The sequence below is a fragment of the Homo sapiens genome, chromosome 11 (assembly GCF_000001405.40).
Source record: "Homo sapiens chromosome 11, GRCh38.p14 Primary Assembly".
Lineage (NCBI taxonomy): Eukaryota > Metazoa > Chordata > Mammalia > Primates > Hominidae > Homo > Homo sapiens.
In genome coordinates, this window is record NC_000011.10 from 134301183 (window position 1) to 134323240 (window position 22058).

At 39.7% G+C, this 22058-nt stretch overlaps 1 protein-coding gene and 1 pseudogene across 15 annotated transcripts in view, besides 1 other annotated feature; one reads left to right on the forward strand and one right to left on the reverse strand.

Annotated features, from left to right (window-relative positions):
- The window catches only part of GLB1L3 (galactosidase beta 1 like 3), a 49538-nt gene that overhangs the window by 25416 nt on the left and 2064 nt on the right, over positions 1-22058 (forward strand). For 7 of the 15 annotated variants that reach the window (XM_011542566.3, XM_011542568.3, NM_001080407.3 and 4 more), the window contains 11 exons: positions 5942-6026; positions 8444-8581; positions 9389-9469; positions 9882-9988; positions 11167-11307; positions 11634-11705; positions 12214-12292; positions 12759-12846; positions 13148-13259; positions 17449-17565; positions 17695-18382. In XM_011542566.3, coding sequence (XP_011540868.1) covers positions 5942-6026; positions 8444-8581; positions 9389-9469; positions 9882-9988; positions 11167-11307; positions 11634-11705; positions 12214-12292; positions 12759-12846; positions 13148-13259; positions 17449-17565; positions 17695-17760 — 1086 coding nt within the window. In that variant the 3' untranslated portion in view covers positions 17761-18382. The other 8 variants (XM_011542569.3, XM_011542570.3, XM_017017156.3 and 5 more) reach the window with 5 other exon arrangements.
- Positions 9919-10104: a silencer, noted in NCBI's record as "fragment chr11:134180995-134181180 (GRCh37/hg19 assembly coordinates)". NCBI's record gives its function as "represses an EF-1alpha promoter that drives an FKBP-Casp9 reporter gene in an ReSE screen in K562 erythroleukemia cells {active_cell/tissue: K562}" and the evidence as "EXISTENCE:reporter gene assay evidence [ECO:0000049][PMID:32094911]".
- LOC100421417 (ATPase H+/K+ transporting subunit beta pseudogene) lies at positions 15589-16090 on the reverse strand (annotated as a pseudogene).

Below are 22058 nucleotides of genomic sequence, written 5' to 3' on the forward strand. Positions count from 1 at the left end.
TTTCCATGGATTTTAGGTATTTGGTTGCTCTGTGACCTAGGTTCTCTGATGGACCCAAGAAGCCATGAATTTACAGTTTTTCAAGTTTTGTCCTCGCTGTGAGGATGGGATTTATGTTTTTCCCACTGCTATATCTCTGAGCTGTACTCAGAAGTCTGTTTCCTTCTGAGTAAATGTAGTTGTTACAGTTTTTCTAGGAATATGTCCATTTCACTCAAACTAAAATATAATGGCATATAATTATGCACACTATCTTCTTGTTTTTAATGGCCGTATCATTTGTGCTGGTCTTTCCTTTTCATTTCTGATCTTAATTATTGATTCGTTTTTACTCTGTCTTAACATTCTCATCAGAAGCATGTTGGTTCTTTTCAAAGAACCGATTTTTTTTTAAGTTGTCTCTATTGCAAATTAATTTCAATTTCACTGCTTCTACCCTTAGGTTTATATTTCCTTTATTTATTTTACTATTTTTGGTTTATTTTGCTGTTCTAATTTCTTGAGGTGGGTAATTAGCCTTCACATTTTATCTGTATGTTTTATTATGAACATTTAAGGAATGGATTTCTCATTAGTTCATGAGTTTTATATTTGGTATATTTGATATACTGTAATTCAGACTAGTGTGAGTATTCAATATGATTGTTTCTTTGGCCTATGAGTATGTTTAGAAGTTAATTTTTAAATTTTCAGACATACGGAGTTTTTCTATTTTTTTCCTTTATTTCGCTGGTCAGAAAACATACTCTGTACCTTTTCAAACTTTTGTAAATTGTTTTCTTTGATTATTAATTCATGACTTTTTAATATGTTTAATGCCTTCTTATCAATTTTAATCATTACGTTGTTGAAGCTTAAAGTGGCTTCTCGCTGGCCTGCTGGCAGCACCTTCCACCTGGCTCCTCTCTCCTCTGACGTGACCCCATCAGTCTTTCATAGTTTACTTGGTTTCCAGCCAAATACAATGTCCCAGACTCACCTGATACATTTCCAATCCTCAGCCCAGAAACAGCGATTTCTCCTAAGAACCCTGTTGCTTCTGTAGAATACAAGCTGTGCTTACTATCAAATTGCTGTTACTTCTAAGCATTTTCAGAGTGTAGGGCCAGGATATTGGCATGTTTTAAACGAGGAGAAAACTGTGGTTTCATTGATTTCTTAAAAAATACAAATTTAGAATTATAGAGGTTATATTTAACTTTTCTGATTTATATTTTTATTTTTTCTCTGACTTTGGACATCATAGTTGATAACAACATTCACAATTTTGTTATTCACTTAATTCTATAATATATTCATAATAGGTTTGAAATAACACTGATAATATTACTGAAAATAAGAAAAATCTAATGATCTTAAAGATTTCTGTGGTTTTTCTTTTATCTTTAAGGTATATCACACAGAGAATGTGTAGTGAAAATTCTATGTACTAAGGTTACATGGAATACTTTCTTTGTTTTATGTAATTGTTTTACCAACTTGGTGTAGAGTTAGATTCATTTGTTTTCAATTTTTAGGTGTGATTCTTTATTTTTTATGTTTAATTTTGTTTGTGTTTATGTCCTATCAATGGTCAGTTTTGGTAAATGCCCTGTGTGTTTGTAATGAATGTATTTTGCGGTACTGGGTGCAGTATTCTGTTTAAGTTCTATGTCAATTTTATTTATTGTGTTATTCTAGTTTTCTATTTCCAATTGATTTTTTTGGCTGGTTGTATTGGTCACTGAAAGAGATGTGTTAATATTTCTATCATAATTGCAGATTTGCATATTTCTACCAGTAGACCTTAGTATTTTACCTGTCCTTTAGCAAGTTTATCAAAGTTTGCTTGATGTATTTTGAGGCTATGTAAATGTGGACTTGTTTTATCTTCATGGACATGAAATTTTATCACTAGGGAGTCATCCTGTTTGTATGCAGTATTGCTTTTTGTCTTAAGGTCACTTTTGTCTGTCATTGATATTGCCATGCCAGACCTCTCTGATTAATATTTGAATGTGTATCATTTTCTATATCCTCATTTGGGTTTTAATCTTGCTGTAATTCTACATTTTTCTTTAGACATCTCTCTTATTAGAGATCAGAAATTAGTTGAATATTTTTATTTTAGTCTGACACAATTAAACTTTTATTTGGAGCTGTCAGTCATTCATATTTCATGTAATTCTTGTTAGACTGAAGTTGAACCTGCCATCTGATTATGTGCCTGCTTTTAAGTGTTTCTTTTCTTTTTCTTTACAATCTTGGCTTCTTTTTATGGATTCGACTATTTAAAAAAATCAATTTCTGTTTTTTCCTATGTCATTCTGGAGTTACAGAGTCTGATTTTATCTTTTAAAAGTCATCCTTGAAATTTTAATGTAAGTACTGAGTCCCCTGCAGTCTAAAGTTCTGCTCTCCGCCTGGATTGTACAAGTGCCTCAGGGCAAGCACTGACTCTGGCCACTCCATCAGATGCATCTTCTGGATTTTTCTTGTATTTGATTTCTATCTTTTTAAAACTCTAAAAATATCATGTATTTGTTTTATACAATCAATATTCCTTCAGTTTTAGCCCAATATTTATCTTTTTGCTTTTTATTATTTTTCATATCTTGGAGATTCTACTCAGGATCAGTTTTCTTCTGCTTGAAGTACATGCTTTAGTGATGTCTGTTTATGGCAGACTCTCTGTTTCCAGGCTTCAGTCTCTTCCCGGCTCTGAATTCTAATGTGGCAGTTTTCTTTCAGCACACAGTCTGCTGACTTCACTGCTGTGATGGGGAGGGCTTCTGTCAGGCTTTCTTTTCTCCTTTATTACTAAGAATTTTTTGTTTCTTTTTTTGTTTTCTGCAGTTGAACTATGTCTCTTTCTGAGTGTCTTTTTATTTATTATTCCAGTTTGTCGGGCTTCTAGAATGTGTGTGTTCCCAGGTAGTAGTTCTTCAAATGTTGCTTCTCCTGTGTTGTCTCACTCCTCTCATCCTGGAATTCCAGCTAAATTCATTAAACCTTCTCAAATGTGCTGGGTATCTCTTTAGTTTGTACATTTTTGTCTACTTATGCTGCTATTTGGATACTTTCTTCTGATTTATTTTCATATACACGAATTCTCTTTTCAGCTGTATCTATGGTGATACTGTATTTGATTTAACTTTGTAAAAATCCTCAATGAGTGGGTTCGTCCAAATAACATAGATCATGATTGTTGGAAATTGTGAGTCTTTGATCATATCTTTAAATATGTTAAAAAATTTTTTTATTTGGTTTATTCTCTTTAGGGACACAAGTTATGTGTAATGCAAACTTCTTCTGTCTTACTTTCACATCTCCTGCATCCATTTCCTTCTCATTCTTTCTACTCTCTGTTCATTTTAACTGTGCTCACTTTTCACTCCTTTTCTTTTCATGTCCCTCACAATGTTTATTTTCCTTTTAGCTGCTTCCAGTTTGGACTTAATATTTTCTATTTTATCTGCCTTAAAAAAAATCTTTGTTAGGTAATATTTTAGCTCCTTATATTTCCTTATCATGTCTTCCTTGAGTACTTTTAGTTCTCTTTTTATGCTCTCCATTTATAGAGGTGATTGTTTCATTGGGGTTTTTAACTTTATAACAATATTTTTGGGTCACAATTTTGACCTATGCTATAGAAAGTTTTTGGTGTTCCTCCTCTAATTTCTTTCCCTGTTGAAAAAGAAAAAAACTCTTTTTTATTAGAATTTTAAATGTAGATTCTATTGTTGTTTCTTTTTTATTATTACTCATCTTTGATGGAGATGAGTTCTTATTGGCTCAAGGACTCAAGAGAAGTTGCTGTGAGAGCCCGCATGCGACTGCGCTAACAATGTATCTTAGTGGCATAATAACAATGTATCTTAGTGGCACAATGCTGTAGGCAGGGATGAATTCTTATCTTTACCCATCTTCCTTTTTGCTTTCTCTCCTCCCAGGGAGCCAGTATAGATGCAGGACTGCTCTCAGATGCCTCACAAGCAGCAACTTCTTCCTCCTTATAGTTCTTATCTGTGATTCTTCCATAATTTTGTCCTTCTAAGCTTCTGATGCACTGAATTATGTAAAGTGCATTCCCTTCACCAGCTTGTGCACCCTATTCTGTAACTGATAATAAATGGTTGGTATTGCACTATAGAGTATGCTTCTTACTTAGGAGAAATTTGTGCTGTTAGTCTTTCCTAAAATCTTCGACAAAGAGCATTCTCTCTCTACGTTTTTTGAACCCCTGATAGACCTTCAATGCTTTTGCGCTTCTTCCTCCTCATTTATATTTTGAAGTTTCAGATGACTCTTAGCTTCACAGAGGATGTTGTTTGTGTTTCCATTTCTCAGTCCTTATTTTGATTTGGAAGATTTCCAGGAGGAGAATGTCAAGCCCACAGTACAATTTTAACACCAGAAGTCAGTCTTTCCTCTTGAATACAAATGGAAAATTAAGGATCTGTATTTATTTAATAAAATTTCACAAAGAGAAAATAATTAAATTACAAATAAAGAAGAAAATGGAAATCAGGGAACATGGAGTTAATTCAGGCAACAAAATAGAGTAGTAAAAAGGCTTATTAATATGCATAGAGATATGAATAAGATTATACCTGAACAAGAGTGGGCTGTTAAGTAAGAGGGACAATCAGGGAACCAAAAACAACTCTTTGAAATTAAAAATCTAATATTTGAAATTAAAAATTAAATATAGAAGTTGGAAGGTAAAGATGATCAAATTCCCTAATATTACTATTAGTATAAGCCCACAAAACAGAAAAGAGACAAGATAAACGTCTTATAGGAGTATTGTAGGAGACCCAACATCTTATTAATACTGGTTGCAAAAAGAGTGGACAAAGAGCATGGAGGAAAGGAAATTGCAAATAACATAAGAATTTCCTTTAACTGAAGTATCTATATGTCCAGATGAAAAGTGTACCTCAAATAGTAAGCACAGTAAGTGATGAAAAAGACCTAAATTGTGAAATTAGCATCCTACAGAGAGAAAAACCACAGGTTTACATGCCAAGCAAAAACAATTAGAATGGCATAGGATTATAAAATATTGGATAATAGGAAGCAATGGCATATGCCTTTAAAATTTGAGGCTAAATGAATTTTAACTTAGAATTTTATACCCAATTAATAATTTTAAATATTAATTGTGTTGATAGCCAGACATTTAAGGACTCAGAATATTTATTTTCCACTCATCTTTTCTATGGAAGTGTTTGAAGGATGCAGGAAATGAGAAATGAAACCAAAGTAGAAGAGAACATAGGATCTGGAAAACATCATAATCCAAATCCAGGGAGCAGCTAACAAAAGTCCTAGGTTGACAGATCTTTGGGCTTAGAGTGAGACAATCTTAGAGCAGCAGCATGCCAGAGGACTCCAGGAGTGCAGCTGAAAATGCATGCTGAGTGGCTGACATATCACCCAGAAGAAGCTCAGCTATGATCTTCCGTTTTAATATCCATGGCACAGCAACAGCCAGGCCTACTGTAGAGGAGGTGTCACCTTTTAAAAACAGAATCTACGTTATTCAGCAGCACTGAAAATGCTAGGCTACAAGTGGAATGCAGGTGTCAGGCTGAAAGCCTGTGGCATCTGAGTTTCTACATAAGGAATTGCGGTCAGGTCCTCGTGTATCCAAAACCCATTCTTTCAACACCAGCCTTGGGTGAGACAGGGTTGAAATTGCTGATGGTGCTTTCCGGGTATAGTAGGGAGGCACATGAAGCTGGAGACCATGGACGTTTAGGAGTGGAGGAACCAGAGCTGTGAATGACGGCCAAGGGCCGTGGGGGAAGAAATACTGGATCAAAACGGGAAAGCTCTGAATTGGGAAAAAGGAGAAACGCATGAGTTCCTTAGTTCCCATCTATTGCATTCAGGTTTTCTGATTTTTCTTTTTTGTTTTTTGCCAGACTTAGTATTTGCTTTGGTTTGTTTTTAGAGAGATAAGCCCCTTCTGATTATGGAATACTGGGTCGGCTGGTTCGACAGATGGGGAGATAAGCACCATGTTAAAGATGCAAAGGGTGAGTGTTTTGCAGTGTTTGACTCCAGGAAGAGATGGCCCCAGGTCCCATGAGAACTCATTCATACAGTTCTCTGCTAATTGATTCACTTGATCAGCCGTAGATATTCATGCAACTTTTCACATACAAGCACTCAGCCAGGCCCTGAGGATGCTCTGGTGGATAGAAATTACATGGTTCCCACCCCCAACAGAGTATAAGTTAGTGAGGTCCACAGATCATTACAGAGTAAAACAATCAATATGTAGTTCCATGTTTGGTGGATACTTTGAAGCAAACAAACAGGGTGCAGTGATAGAAAAGACAGAAGAAAGACCTGCGCAGGTAAGGTTAGGTGGTCACCGAAGCTTCTCTGAAAATGTGACATCTCTGAGGAAGGTGGAACATTAATCATCTCTAGCAGTGCATAGGCCCTCTCTATGGCATTGTCAACTAAGCACTAATAATAGTCAGGGGACAACATGCAGCGATAGCCAAGAGCATGGATCTTGGAGCCAAAGAGATCAGGTTTTAATCTCAGCTCTGCAGCGCTAGCCATGCGCTAGCTTCATGCAGGCTTCCTTCATTTTAATTCTCAGTGACCTCATCCAAACGTGAGGATTATCATAAAACCAACCTCATGAGGCTGGTGTGAGGATCAAGTGCTGCCACTTAGAGCAATGCCTGGCAGTCGTTTACTTAATAGGCATTTGTGTCTACAGAAGATATTTCGAAAGAGCTGTTATGAAAACAAGGCCACTTGTATCTGAAGTATAGAAAAACATTGAAAAATACTTGGGAACTGAGAAAAGCCTGTTTTAGGTTGAAAAATAGAAAAAAAGTCAAAAGAAAAATGCCACTATTACCACCAATAACACCAACAATAATACCATCACTACCACCAACAATAATGCCAGCAACAATACCACCACCATCATCACATCACCACCACAATCACCATCATCACCAACACCACCACCAGCACCACCACCATCACCATCATCACCATCACCACTACCACCACCACCATCACCATCACCACCACCACCATCACCATCACCACCATCACCACCACCACCACCACCACCACCACCAAATACCACCACCACCACCACCACCACCACTACCACCACCATCACCATCACCATCACCATCATCACCATCACCACTACCACCACCACCACCACCACCATCACCACCATCACCACCATCACCATCACCACCACCACCATCATCACCATCACCACCACCACCACCATCACCACCACCACCACCACCACCACCAAATACCACCACCACCATCACCACCAAATACCACCACCACCACCACCATGTCCACCACCACTACCACCACCATCACCATCACCATCACCACCACCACCACCATCACCATCACCATCATCACCATCACCTCCACCACCACCACCACTATCACCACCATCACCATCAACACCATCACCACCATCATCACCACCACCACCACCACCAACACCACCACCACCACTACCAAATAAAACTTTTCTGGTCTCTTGTATGGCAGGCACTGTGCCTTTTTTCCACATATATTACCTCATCAATGAATTTTCTCATCAGTCCCATGATATAGCTGGAATTAATACATTCATTTAACAGATCAGGAAGCAGTGGCGTTGAGAAAGAAAATAGGTTGCCCCAGGTCATACAAATAGTAACGAGCACAGCCAGAATTGACTCCCACTCTAAATGACTTTTAACCTTCTTCTTCCCACTGTGGCCAGTGGAGAGATGATTGCAGCTGTTTAAACACAGTACAAAATGGAAGTTTTGTGGCTAAAGATTAAGAGCAACCACTTGTGGACTATGGCGGTGTTTCCAAGTCAGTGTTCCCAGAAACATTTCACTGGAAGGTAGTAATGAGGGTGTACTAATTATATGTATGATTTCAAAAAACTTAAGGAAAATTAGATATTTAAGTGACATGAGGGTTCTTAGGTTATTATTTAATAGATGTAGTTTAGAGTCAAATTATGTCAATATTTTGGAAAAAAAGTGTTCAAAAATCTCTTGGGATTGACAAGATTCGGTGTCCTAGAGTAGTTCTGGCCAATTCTGCCTATTTTTTTGTTGGAATCTTTGTAGAGGTTGAATGATAAAACATTTGCAGTAGGTCTTTAACGTCATCAATAGGTTCTTGGAAACTAAACAAAATGATGTACAGCATATCCTCATATAATACTGTTTTCTTCAACATTGTTTCATTATAAAATTGAGAGAAAAATTGTTTTTTTTTTTATATCATTTTACTTAAAGTCTCCATTCCCAAGAATGTATATAGCCGTGAAGCGAGGAGTTACTGTAACTGATTGTGGAGTGGGGTTGGAAAGGATAAGAGTTTGCCAGAGGCTTCTGTCTCCTCTTAATTTCTAACATTCTCTGTGTTCTCATGTTCCCCTTTGCAGAGGTTGAACATGCTGTGTCTGAATTCATCAAATATGAGATCTCCTTCAATGTATATATGTTCCATGGTGGAACCAACTTTGGTTTCATGAACGGGGCCACATATTTCGGGAAGCACTCGGGCATTGTCACCAGCTATGGCAAGTGTCGCTGGTGTAGTAGCCTCTCCAGCATGGGCGGTGCTGGGGCTTTACAGAGGAGGCTCCGGAAGCCTGTTCTGGCACCACTGGGTTCTTGACCTATAATCTATGCTGAGTACTGAAGATTTTCCTATCTACTTTCCTTCCTTCTGTATGTTCATAATGCCCCAACAGGCTGTCATTGCAGTAGACAGGGCTTTCCGGGACTTAGAGCTCCGCTTCACACATCTGGTATACTGCCCTGTTGGCTTGAACCTCTGAAGAGAGGCAGGGTAGGAACGGTGACTGCTGTAAAGGCACAGACCTGCACGGCCGGGCGATACAGACTGAGCAAAGAAAAGAGTACCCGTTGAAGGGGTGTCCACTCTTTTGGCTTCCCTGGGCCACACTGGAAGAAGAAGAATTGTCTTGGGCCACACATGAAATACACTAACACTAATGATAGCTGATGAGCTTAAAAAAAAAACACAAAATGTTTTAAGAAAGTTTATGAATTTGTGTTGGGCTGCATTCAAAGCCATCCTGGGCCGCCTGTAGCCCATGAGCTGTGGGTTGAACAAGTTTGCATTAGAAAGTGAAGAAGTGGGGGCAAGCCCAGTGTCATGGCTTGACACTGGAAGCCAGTGGAAGGTGCCCAGGAAGAGTTGTGGGGAATGTCCTTAGACTGGCATCACACACCCACGTGGGATGGAAGGTGTCTTCCTTTTGTCTCACTCACGGTGGCCCTGGCCATCTCCTGCCAGCGGTGCTGAAACAGGGCCTCCTGCAGAGACTGCATGGCTGGTGACTGGCCCTGGTGTCTTGCAGACTATGATGCAGTGCTCACGGAGGCTGGAGATTACACAGAAAAATATCTGAAGCTTCAAAAACTCTTTCAATCTGTCTCAGGTACTCAGCACCCATTTAACTTACGGGCCAGCCCTCCTCATGTGGAGTCTCTGTTCTGTGGAAAAGTGAGGAAGGCGTGGGTCTCCCTTGTGGGCAGCAGTTACACCAAGCTCCTGAGAACAAGGGCAACCTTAACTTCGAACCCTGGGGTTAAAATCTGTGTGATTTTTTAAAATCAGGGTTTCTAAGCATTTTATAAGCCTCAGTTTCTTCACTGAAGCATAAAGATAGTAACCTTGGTCTCCTGTGATGACTGCGAAGATTGAGTTACTCTTTGTAAAGCTCTTATACCATGGATGACATAGTAACCCCCAATATGAAAGGAAAAGCCATGCTGGATAGGCATGGGGGGCTTAGAGAAGGCAGTGGTCATCTCAGGCACTTTTTGCCCTGTGCCCCATCTCCATTGCAGCAACTCCCCTGCCCCGAGTACCCAAACTTCCTCCCAAGGCTGTGTATCCCCCCGTGAGACCGTCGCTGTACCTCCCGCTGTGGGACGCCCTATCCTACTTAAATGAGGTGCGTGCTGCCTGGCCACAGGAGGCGGAGTGGCCATTGGAGGGATGGGGGAGGGATTCCTTCAGGAAACTTTTTATTAGGAAGTGGGAAAACAAATCCTCTGCATTTCATTCAAATTTAGAACTGTGGGACAAGAGCCACCAGCTCCTTCCGGGTGGACTGTGAAGGGGTTTGACCTTGGAGTCAGTGTGCAGGGGAGGGGCAGCAGGACGTCGGAGGATCCCGGGTTCCCGCTTAGATGAACCTGTCTGGAGATGCTCTTGTTTGGACTGTGTGGTCCTTACGGAATCCACGTAGGAAAAGCTGCTGAGCTGGAATCGGGAGACTAGCTTCTGCCCGTGCTTCACCAGCAGCTGGGCCTGAACTTCCTGGGTCACTGCTCCCCCTTTTCCATCAGCCTTCCTGTCCTATTTTGAAGAAAGGTGAAAGCTGTTTGGAACTGAAACTGTAGCCCTTGGATTCACATTGGTTTTACCTCTGCTATCACTATTTTAGAGAAAAGGTAGTGACTGGTACACTAAAGAAACTACATTTATTTAATGTAACTAAATTTAATTTAATGAAATAAACATTTGCTTGGTGCCTCATTCATTGCTAGACTTCAACTATTTTAGAATACAATTTATTTACTCTTTTTTTTTCTTGAGACAGGGTCTTGCTTGGTGGCTGTGGCTGGAATGCGGTGGCACAATCATGGCTCACTGCAGCCTTGAACTCCTGGGCTGAAGCAATCCTCCGGCCTCAGCCTCTTGAGTAGCTGGGATTACAGGAGGGCACCACCACGCCCAGCTACATTTTTAAGTTTTTTGTAGATGTGGGTCTCACTATGTTGCCCAGGCTGCTCTCAAACTCCTGGCCTCAAGTGATGCACCTGCTGCGGCCTCCCAAAGTGCTGGGATTACAGGCGTGAGCCCCTGCGCCCCATCCATTTCCTCTGTTAATCAGTTCTTAGGATTATAACGATTGCTCCCTCATCACCATGCCCTGCATTTCCCTGAGTTTCCTTCCTGGGCAGTGGAGACGTAAGCACAGAGCAGTGTCACATGGCATCTGTTTCATCATTTCCCATTTGAAGAACCCTTGGGGACCATTAGGCAGGACCAAATGACAGGGTCTTAGGAAGGAGGATCCTGACTGCTCAGCCCTTGGACTTCTGCTCTTGCCATTTCTCCTCATAGCCAGTCAGGTCGCGTCAGCCCGTCAACATGGAGAACCTTCCCATAAACAATGGGAGCGGCCAGTCCTACGGGCTTGTCCTGTATGAGAAGTCCATCTGCTCCGGAGGCCGCCTCCGTGCCCACGCTCATGACGTGGCACAGGTAGGGCCAGCAGGCTGTCTGTGTGGGAAGCAAAGTGCATCACCTCCCCATGCTGTCGGGCAGGGTAGTTGACTGAAGGATGCACGTTGCTGTTTGGTGACCTACTATATGGGAGGCATTGGGACTAAAAAGTCAGGCCAAATAGACTTGCTTTCTGCTTTATCACCACTGAGAGTCTCTTGGGGCCTCCAGGCAGCTTCATGCCATCAGTGAGCACCACAGCTGGTCCCTGCCTTCATACTGACCTCCTTCTCCCGAAACCGCGGCCTCTCTTCTCCCTTTCTTCGGGTGGGCCTAGCAGTCTGACGCCGGCTCTTCTTTTGCAGGTGTTTTTGGATGAGACAATGATAGGGATTCTGAATGAGAATAATAAGGACCTGCACATTCCTGAACTCAGGGTATGTAATTTGAGAGTCCAGGTGATGCCCTCGACCCCCCTCAAATGCAGACGGAGCCTGGTCCTGAGACAGTCAGCCTCCCTTCTCCACCCCTGCTGCTGGTGCTGCTGCTCACCTGGGGCGGCGGCAGGAAGTGTGCAGGGCTGGAAGCCAAAGTGCCTCCCAGGCCCTGGCCCCTCAGGAGCTACCGCATGTGTGCTGGAGGGGAGGGGATTTCCTCACCAAGTCCTGAGCCTGTCCTCAGCCCCTGGTTGGGTTTCTGTGCCTTTTGGAGTTGGTTAAAGGTACAGCTGAGTCTCTCTGCCTTTCCTAGTAGGATCAGCAGAGGGGAAAGGGAAGATTGACTATAGGAACACAAGGCAGTCCTTAGGTGAAGGGAAGACTGCTGGGCCCTGGAGCCTCCTGTTCTCCCATGTGTCTCTCCATGTGGGACTCAGTGAAAAAACGGGTTGTCGGGTAGACGCCCTCCATGGCTGCGTGGTCTCCATGACCTGGCCTGTCCCAGCAGGACTGCCGATACCTGAGGATCCTGGTGGAGAATCAAGGACGAGTCAATTTTTCATGGCAAATACAGAATGAGCAGAAAGGTGGGCTCTGGCTGTGGCTTCTCCTCAGTTGCTCAGAACCGAAGACCCGGGCTATGCACTGGAGTCGGGGGCGGGAGAGGGTGGGGAAACCAGCCGCTCAGCAGTGGGCTACCCAGGCCCTGGGAGCAGAGATGCAAAATCGGCCCCTCGCCCTTGTCTTGCCTTCTCTGATCTCCAGGGCCAGAGGGTGGGGCCAGTGTGTTCGGTGCTGGCTTGTCCTCAAGCAGGGCCAGTCTCCTTTTGGGAATTTCAGGAAAAGTTCCAGTACTAAGTGGGGGAACTTTCTTGGTAGTGTGGAAACATACAGCTAGAACCCTTCAGTCACAGCAGGTCAGACAAATGTTTGCCCTCCTGGCTGTGCCCCTGTCCTAAGGCATGTACAAGTCTGCATTGCTTTGTCCCAGATGCTAGAGAATATCCAGTCCTGGCTCATATTCTCTTTCCTGCCTCCCATCTGCATCTGCAGGAATAACTGGATCTGTCAGCATCAATAACTCTTCCCTGGAGGGCTTTACCATCTATTCCCTGGAGATGAAAATGAGCTTCTTTGAGAGGTATGCTCCAGCTGGCCCCCAGTGCACACTTCAGTGATCGGGGAACTCAGAGATTTCAGATTCCTCATTGCAGATAAAGAGTCCAAGATAGAGACTGAGTGATGTACTCCAGGCTGTTGGGTACTTCGGCGTCAGAACTAGGGCCCTGGAACAAGTGTCCTGATTCTGATCTTAACGCATCTAGTCTACTCTATCTCATTGAAACAGAACCTTAGGCTCGGCCCACGCCACCTGGGGTGGGTACTGGGAACTGGGTTGGGAAGGGGACTTCTTCTCCCCCATGGCTTGGCCTTTCTTCCAGGCTCCGCTCTGCCACCTGGAAGCCTGTCCCAGACAGCCACCAGGGCCCGGCCTTCTACTGTGGGACCTTGAAGGCTGGCCCTTCTCCCAAGGACACCTTCCTGAGCCTGCTGGTAGGTGATGCCCTCTGCTGCCCTGGTGTTCCAAACACCAATTTTATTTTTAAAGAGTCCTGAAGCAAAGCCAGCGTTCCTGGAGGAATACTTCCCTTTCTTCTTTTCCTCTTCTTCCTCATCTCCAACCAAGCCTTCCAACATTGATCAGTCTTCCTAATTTATCACTGTTCAGAGAATAACACATCAAAGCACAATTAAAAATTCAAACAATAACAAGAGGGAGAGAGCAAAGCATGAAGTTCGCCTTTGAACCCACCCCCATTCCAATTAGTCTCTGCTTCTCAGAACTCAACACTGCCAACAGTGGTACATTTTTATATATAACTTTGCCTGAACACACACGTACACAATTATTTTTACACTAATAGAATTGTACTATGTATTCTGAAGCTTGCCTTTTTTTTCTGTGTGGGGTGAGTTGGTAAGTTAGTTTTTACTTAGAATATCTTTTTCTGTATAAATACACATAGATAACATAAATGTACAAAATGTGAATGTACAGATCAACAAATGATCACAAAGTGAACACCATATAATTATCACTGAAAGTTAAAAATATTGTTGGCACCCCTCCCAACTGCTGCCTTGACTTCTAACACCCTAGGCCAGTGTCTCCTATTTTGACTTTATGTAAATGGAATCATACAGGGCATCTTTTTTAAATATGTTTTCTTTTGTTCAACATTGTGAGGTTCAGCCATTTATCGATGTTGCAGTGATTTGTTCATTTTCACTGTTGTATTGGGTTCATTTAGTAAATACATTATAATAATTTATTTAACCATTTTACTTTTTCTGAACATTTGGATTATATCTAGGGCTTGTCTATGGTAAATAATTAAGACTTCGTTTGTGTTTATGTTCATAACTGAGATCTCTTTGTCAGGTTTTGGTGCCAATGTTTAGGGATCTCATAAAGGATTTAGGAAGGCGAATTTGTGTAAGACAAGTATCACTTCTTAAACATTTAATGGAGTTCATTAGTGAAGCCTTCTAGAGCTGGCATTTTCTTTTTGAAAAAGTGTGTGAGTGTGGATTCAATTATTGAAAGATTAAAGTACTATTCAGATTTTGTTTCTTTTAAAGTTAGCTTTGAGAAAATATATTTTTCTGGAAATTTTCCCATTTCATCTAAATTTTCAAATATATTGCCTTTAAAATATTCGTTTTTGATGTCTAGATCATTGGTAGTAACGTTCCCCTTGTCATTTGTTACAGGATATCGATGCACTCTTTTTTCTTGATAATTCTCACCAGAACACTATCAATTTTATTAATTGTTCAAAGTACAGTGTTTGGCTATGACTCTTACTGTGTTAAGTATTTATTTTCTGATTCTGTCATTATCTTTATTATTTTGTTTATTCAATTTCTTAGTTTAGGATTAATTTGCTTTATTTTTATAATGTCTTGACATAGATACTTAGATAATGGACTTTCAGTCTTTGTTCTTTTTAATTATATGAATTTAGGTTATTAATCATCATTTACGCGTGGATTTGGTTGCATCCTCTAAGTTTTAAAAAGATTTTTTGAGGTAAAATTACATAACATAAAATTAGTTCTGTTAAAGTGAACGATTAAGTAGTCTTTCATGCCTTCACAATGCTATGCAGCCTCTATCTCCAGTTCCAGCACATTTTCATTATCCTATAAACATTGGGCAATTACTTCTCCATTTTCCCCTTCTCCCACCGCCTGGCAACAGCAATCTTTTTATTATCTTTATGGATTTGCCTATATTGGAAATGACTCCCATACCTTTTTTTTTTTTACACGTAGAATAAGAATAAATTTATTGTATTTATTTTCATGACTGAAGAATTACATTCTTCAAAGCAAGAATTCAGAATGTACATAATTATAAGCCATATTTCATATCAGTGCATTATTTTTATATTATACTTTCTATTATATGGGTAATGGTTCATATTGAAATACAGAAAAAATAAGTTGTAAGACAAGCGATGTCTATATAGGAAGAGATGAATCATTTTAGTGTCTTATTAGTTGGATAATTGCTGCTTTAAGGTTGCCATGTTAGCCTAACAGTTTAATCATAACTATAAATTCTATCTAAAAAATAATAAAGGTTTCATAACAAACAGCTGATACTAAAGGTGAGCACTTCACCTGTAGGTGCTTCTCTGAAGGTGTCAAGTAGACTTCGGTATGTGCATTTTAGAATGTCTTAAAGATGATTTTGTAAGGAGCTGGCAGGCAAATTAAGCCCAACAAAAGAGAAGGTCTGCAAATTATCCTGCAGGTTAGGGCCAATCTTCTTGAGTCTGCTAGGAATTATAAAATACCTACTCTTGCTCTTTCACCTCTAAGTTTTAAGTTGGAATTTTACTTTTCCTTCATACGGCTGTGTGGATTGTTGAAGGTCACATGCTTCACAAGCACTTGCCCATAATGACAACTTCCATGTTTTGGGGGACATTGAGAAGCTTCCCTGGGTCCAGAACTTTGCTATAGTAGGGCTGTGCTTTCTTCTCATATTAAGGCAAATAGTGTAGACCGAAGGCGCCATTTGGCAGGTAGTATTCAACCTGAGGCACTGGATGTCCTGGAGGCAGTGTCCAGAAAGCTGCAGGCCACTCTGGGGGCCATGTTGTTGCCGGGGGGAAACTTGATGATCTTTACCAATCAGTTTATACTTTTTGTGGATTCTTGGTACTGTTTAAGTTCCTTTCTTTTCAAGTTGAAGGACTTCCTTTAGCACTTCTTGTAAAGCAGGTCTAGTGGCGATGAACTCCCTCAGTTTTTGTCTGGAAGTCTTTATCTCTTATTCATTTTTGAAAGACAGTTTTGCTGGATGTAGTATTCTTGGTTGCCAGTTGATTTTTCTTTTAGCATTTTAAATATATCGGTCCATTCCACGCTAGCCTGCAAGGTTTCTGCTGAAAAATCTGCTGATAGTCTTATACCCTACAAGTTTCTATCAATTTTATCATCATCATCAAAGAATTCAAATATTTTCCAACTTCCTTTGTCATTACTTGTTAGATTTATGGTTTATTTAGAAGTGCTTTTCTTAATTTCCAAGAATTTGGATATTTTAGGGTTATCTTTTTTATCAGTTTCTTTCTTAAATGCATTATAGTCTGAGAAGTTTATGTGAAGACTAGTTTAATACAGGATCAAGCTTGTAAATATTCTGAGGTATACTTGAAAGAATATGTGTATACTGTAGATGTTAGATCAATGTTCTATTATGTCAATTAGTTCAATTTTGTTAATCATCTTCTTTTAAATGTTTTATGTCTTTATTGATTGTTATTTGCTTTGCCTATTGACTATTGAAAGGTTGTATAAAAATTTCCCGCTATGGTTGTAAATTTATTTATTTCTCTTCTGTCAATTTCGCTGATATGTTTTGAATCTCTGCTTTTATCTTTCTTATGTATGTTGTATATACATTTTTGGTAAATTAAGAATTTTACCATCATGAAATGTCCCTCTTTATCTCTAATAATGCTTCTTGCCTTAAAGTATTATTTTTCTGAATATTAACAGAGCTATAGCAACTTCCTTTTGGTTAGGGTTTACATATCATTATCCATTGTTTTTCTTTTATTTTTCCAATGCCTTATGTTTTTGATGCTTCTCTTATATGTAGCATATAACTACTTTATTTGAAATCAAGACCAGCAACCTTTGCCCTTTAATTTGAAGCATTTCAGAGACTCCAATTTTATGTGCTAGACTGTTTTGTTATATCCCAGAATAAGCAGGTGCCTCTAGTGGAAAAACTGCCTAGATGTCTCCTTGTCTCTCCATTTTCTTCTTCTAGATCTTGATCCTGTAATTCTTCATTATATTGCAAGCAGATTTTTAAAAATGTGCAGCTTTTATATTAATAGCCACTGTCAGCAGTGGTGTTCATCACTATTACCTGATATTTATTTCTGGAAGTAGAAGATCTGCTTTTTAAAATATATAACATTATATATCACATAACAGGAACAATAGCAGCCTTACCATTAAAGGGTTGGTTCTATTTATGCTTTTCTCTTTCATTCCTAGACAGCAAGGTAGAAGTTCTATAACATATCCCACTCTAAACTCACCTTCATTTGAGTGCCATAAAGTATCTCAATCTTGCTCTCACTCTCCAAGTGCCTTAGGTTTTACCTTGCTAATGTGAACCAATTTCCAAATCTCAAGCCACCATTCCTTTCAGAACTGGAATTATGGATTTGTGTTCATCAATGGACGTAACCTTGGGCGATATTGGAATATTGGGCCTCAGAAAACACTGTACCTTCCTGGAGTTTGGCTTCATCCAGAAGACAATGAGGTATGTCACTCCAGTCTCTGCCTTGAGATCTCATAAACTTTCAGATCAAAATGTGAGTTGCAGTGTCTTTTTCAACCTGTACTAAATAGGCTTCACCTTTCCCACTGTCAACCTTTCTTTTCTTCTCAGGTCATCTTGTTTGAGAAGATGATGAGTGGCTCAGATATCAAATCTACAGACAAGCCCACGCTGTAAAACTGTGTCTGAACATTTTTTTTTTTTTTTGAGATGGAGTCTCACTTTGTCGCCCAGGCTGGAGTGCAGTGGCACAATCTCTGCTCACTGCAAGCTCAGCCTCTCGGGTTCACGCCATTCTCCTGCCTCAGCCTCCCCAGCAGCTGGGACTACAGGTGCACGCCACCACGCCTGGCTAATTTTTTGTATTTTTAGTAGAGATGGGGTTTCACCAAGTTAGCCAGGATGGTCCCAATCTCCTGACCTTGTGATCTGCTCTCCTCAGCCTCCCAAAGTACTGGGATTACAGGCGTGAGCCACCACTCCCGGCCGTGAACATATTTTTTGGGTTGCTGGAGTTCATCTATAAGTCATTTTTGAGGAATAAGATTTATGTTAAGACTATCAAACACAGTGTTGCCTACAATAGCAAAAATGTGAAAATAACAACAACAACAAAACAGCAGAGGAATTGTTATGTATTTTGTAGTCTATCTATATGATGCCTATTTTTAGGCTTTAAAAAGTCTTCAAAATCTTTAATGACTGATTTATCTAGTTAAATGCTTAATCCTTAGCAGGCTCTTATTCTTTAATTAAACGTGCCTTTGAGTAGATGTGAATAAAATAAAAACAAGTTTCATTTCTGCCTCCCATACTCAATTGAAGGGAAGGGAAAGGTCTGAAGCCTGGGGAAGAGTAAGGATACTGATTTCCTCATGCCAGAGAGAGTATTGCATGTACTAATGGGCAAACTCACGGTCTCCCTCCTCTCTCTCTCTCTCTCTCTCTCTCTCTGTGTATGTGTGTGTGTGTGTGTGTGTGTGCGCGCGCGCGTGCATGTGTGTGTGTGTATGTAGGAGTAGGGGAAAGGAGAGGGCAATGAACAATGTCTTTCATTTCCCTTCAACTATGTGTCTACAAGGTGACCCTGCATGTCACATCTAATCAGAGAAGGAACAGAAATTTGGTCATTTGCTTCAGACACGTGTGACAACAAAGCTAGCGCAGGGTTCTCTGTGTCTTCTTACTCCCTGTCTATCTGGCTATAGTCAAGGCTACTACTGATAGTGGGTAGGCATTAGTGAGATTAGCCACACACACATGAATATTCCAACCACTATGAAAAGCCAGTGGAGCCATTTGAAAAAAATGGCACCATTGGGAACCAAGCACTTTCTTATATACAAAACACAGCACTTGGCCTAAATTCAAACCAATGCACTATAAGCAAATCTTATCACCCTGTTAAATATAGTGCCTAGGGCTTTCAAGTAATTTAGTAAGTAATCTTGTGTCCAGAGGGAAGAGAACCCTCTGTTTGGATTGGAATGAAGATAAAGATGTCAGATTATCTTCTCTCCCACTAGTCTGAATGACTATTTCAATGGAGGAAACTTCTGTGAGATACCTCCACAATTCTACATAAAACTTTATTCTCTGGGGATCTAGCCTCAAACCTATGAACTCTATAGAAACTGCAATGTAAAGGAGGGAAGCAGAACTAATAATCATAATGATCTTGAGTACATATTATATTTCAGGTGTAACATCTGCAACATCTAAACTTAACAACAACCATGCAACATATCCATTTTACAGATGAGAAACCAAGGTTCAAAGAGGTATTTGAAATCATGTCTCTCTGATTGGCACCTCCTCTTTCGCTACTACCTTAGTTCCACACGTATGCCAGTCTTTTCCAAATATGAATGCAAAAATGCTATTCAGAAGATATAATGCTTTCAGTGCACTTAGAGAAAAAGAGCTCACAACTTAGAATTCTTTACCCAGCAAAACTATTTTACAAGAAAAACAAAAAAAAAAAACAAAATATAGAACTTTCTGACAAACAAAAACCAAGAGAGTTATCATCAAAAGATCCCCACTAAATGATGTTCTGTAGCGGCCTTTCTCAATGTCCCATAAGAGAATTAAACACTGCAGAAAGTGTCTTCAGTGACTAGTTTCTCATTATATCATCTGGATGCATATTAGAGACGTTAACTCATTACATACTGTGGATGTCTTGGGGCATTACATCTTCACGCTCTCAGGGAACCACAGTTGAGAAGAAATTTCTAAAAGATATGCCACGAGCAGATGGAAAGTCTGACTTTTAAGAAAGAACGTGGAATCCAAGAAGGATGCTGACATATGTGAGAGTGAATATGGACAAACGTTAACTCCATAGAAATAGAGCCAATGTCTAACTTGAGGTAGCATCAGCATAAAACTCTAAGACCAGGCAAAAACACTGTGTAAAGCGAGAGGGATGTGATGGCCAAAAAGTGATCTAAGATTTCTGTAATTCTCAGATATTAACTTTAGACTTTGTTGAATATTCCTAGTTAATAAACTAAGCTTAATGTTTAAAGAATATACATAGAGCTTTTAACTTTCTAAAAAAATTAGGAGGATAAATAGAGTAAGAAAAAACAAACAAACAAAATCCTCTAACCAATAAAAGACAAAAGATAGTAGAAGATAAAGAAGTAGAAAAATAAGTACAAGTATAAATCATGCTGCTATAAAGACACATGCACACGTATGTTTATTGTGGCACTATTCACAGTAGCAAAGACTTGGAACCAACCCAAATGTCTATCAATGATAGACTGGATTAAGAAAATATGGCACATATACTCCATGGAATACTATGCAGCCATAAAAAAGGAGGAGTTCATGTCCTTTGTAGGGACATGGATGAAGCTGGAAACCATCATTCTCAGCAAACTATCGCAAGGACAGAAAACCAGACCCTGCATGTTCTCACTCATAGGTGGGAATTGAACAATGAGAACACATGGACACAGGAAGGGGAACATCACACACTGGGGCCTGTCATGGGGTGGGGGGAGTTGGGAGGGATAGCATTAGGACATACACCTAATGTAAATGAGGAGTTAATGGGTGCCGCACACCAACATGGCACATGTATACATATGTAACAAACCTGCACGTTGTGCACATGTACCCTAGAACTTAAAGTATAATAAAAAAAAAAGTACAAGTAGAAACACATATTAAGACAGTAGAATAAATACAGATATATCAGCAACCATAGTAAATTTTATAAATGCGCTAAACTCTAAACGGTAAAAATTGTCAGACATTATTTAAAGAAAACTATAAATATTTGAGTTTTACAAGAGATACACCTTTAACATAAAGATGCAATGATCGAAAGTCCAAGGATAAAAAATATGCTATGCAAATTCTAACTGAAGGAACTATAGTAACTGTATTAACATCAGGCAAGTAGACTTAAAGACAGAAGGTGTTACTAGGTATAGAGGGTTACCCATAGTAATGGAAATTCAATTCCTGAGAAAGATATACTAATTTTGACTTGTTTTTGTCTGAAAATGTAGCTTCATAATATGTAAAGCAAACATTTCCAGATCTATATGTAGAAATAGAAAAATAAAAGTACCTTGTACTTGAGAAACGTTTGTTCTACTTAAAAAGTTGAGATACGATTCATATACCATAAAATTTTTCAAAATGAGTTGTAAACTCTTTTAAAGTCTACAATTCAGTAGTTTTTAGTAGGATATATTCACGAGATTGTACCAGCATCATCACCATCTGATCTAGAACATTTTCATCACTCCAGATAGCAGCCCTTAACCTGTCAGTAGTTACTCCTGATTCCCCTTTCCACCCAGCCCCTGGCAACTATGAATTTACTTTCTGTCTCTGTGGATTTGCCTATTCTGAACATTTTACGAAAGTGGAATCGAATATGTGACCCTTTGTGTTTGGCTTCTTTCATGTAGCTTAACGTTTTCAAGCTTCATGGATGCTGTAGCATGTATATTCTATCCTTTTTCATGGCTGAATAATGTTCCATTGTATGGATACATAGCATTTTGTTTATCCATTCATCAGTGGATGATTATTTGAGTTGTTTCCACTTTTTGGATATTATGAATAATGCTACTATGAATATTCATGCATAAGTTTTTGTGTGGTCGTATGTTTTCCATTCTCTTGGTTATATACCTGGAAGAGGAATTGCTGGGTCATACGGTAATTCTGTGTTTAACTTTTCCATAAAGCATTAAACTGTTTCCAAAGTGGCTGCAGCACTTTACAGTTCCCACCAACAAGGTATTAGGTTTCTAAGTTCGCCACATCCTCACCAACACTTGATTTTAAGCTCTCTTTTTGATTACAGCCATCCTAGTGAGTATGAAATGTTATCTCACTGTGGTTTTGATTTGCATTTCCCTAAAAACTTGTCCTCTTAAACATTGAATCCAAACATGTAACAATGAAGTCATGCAATTGGACTTTAAGATAACAAAAATTGG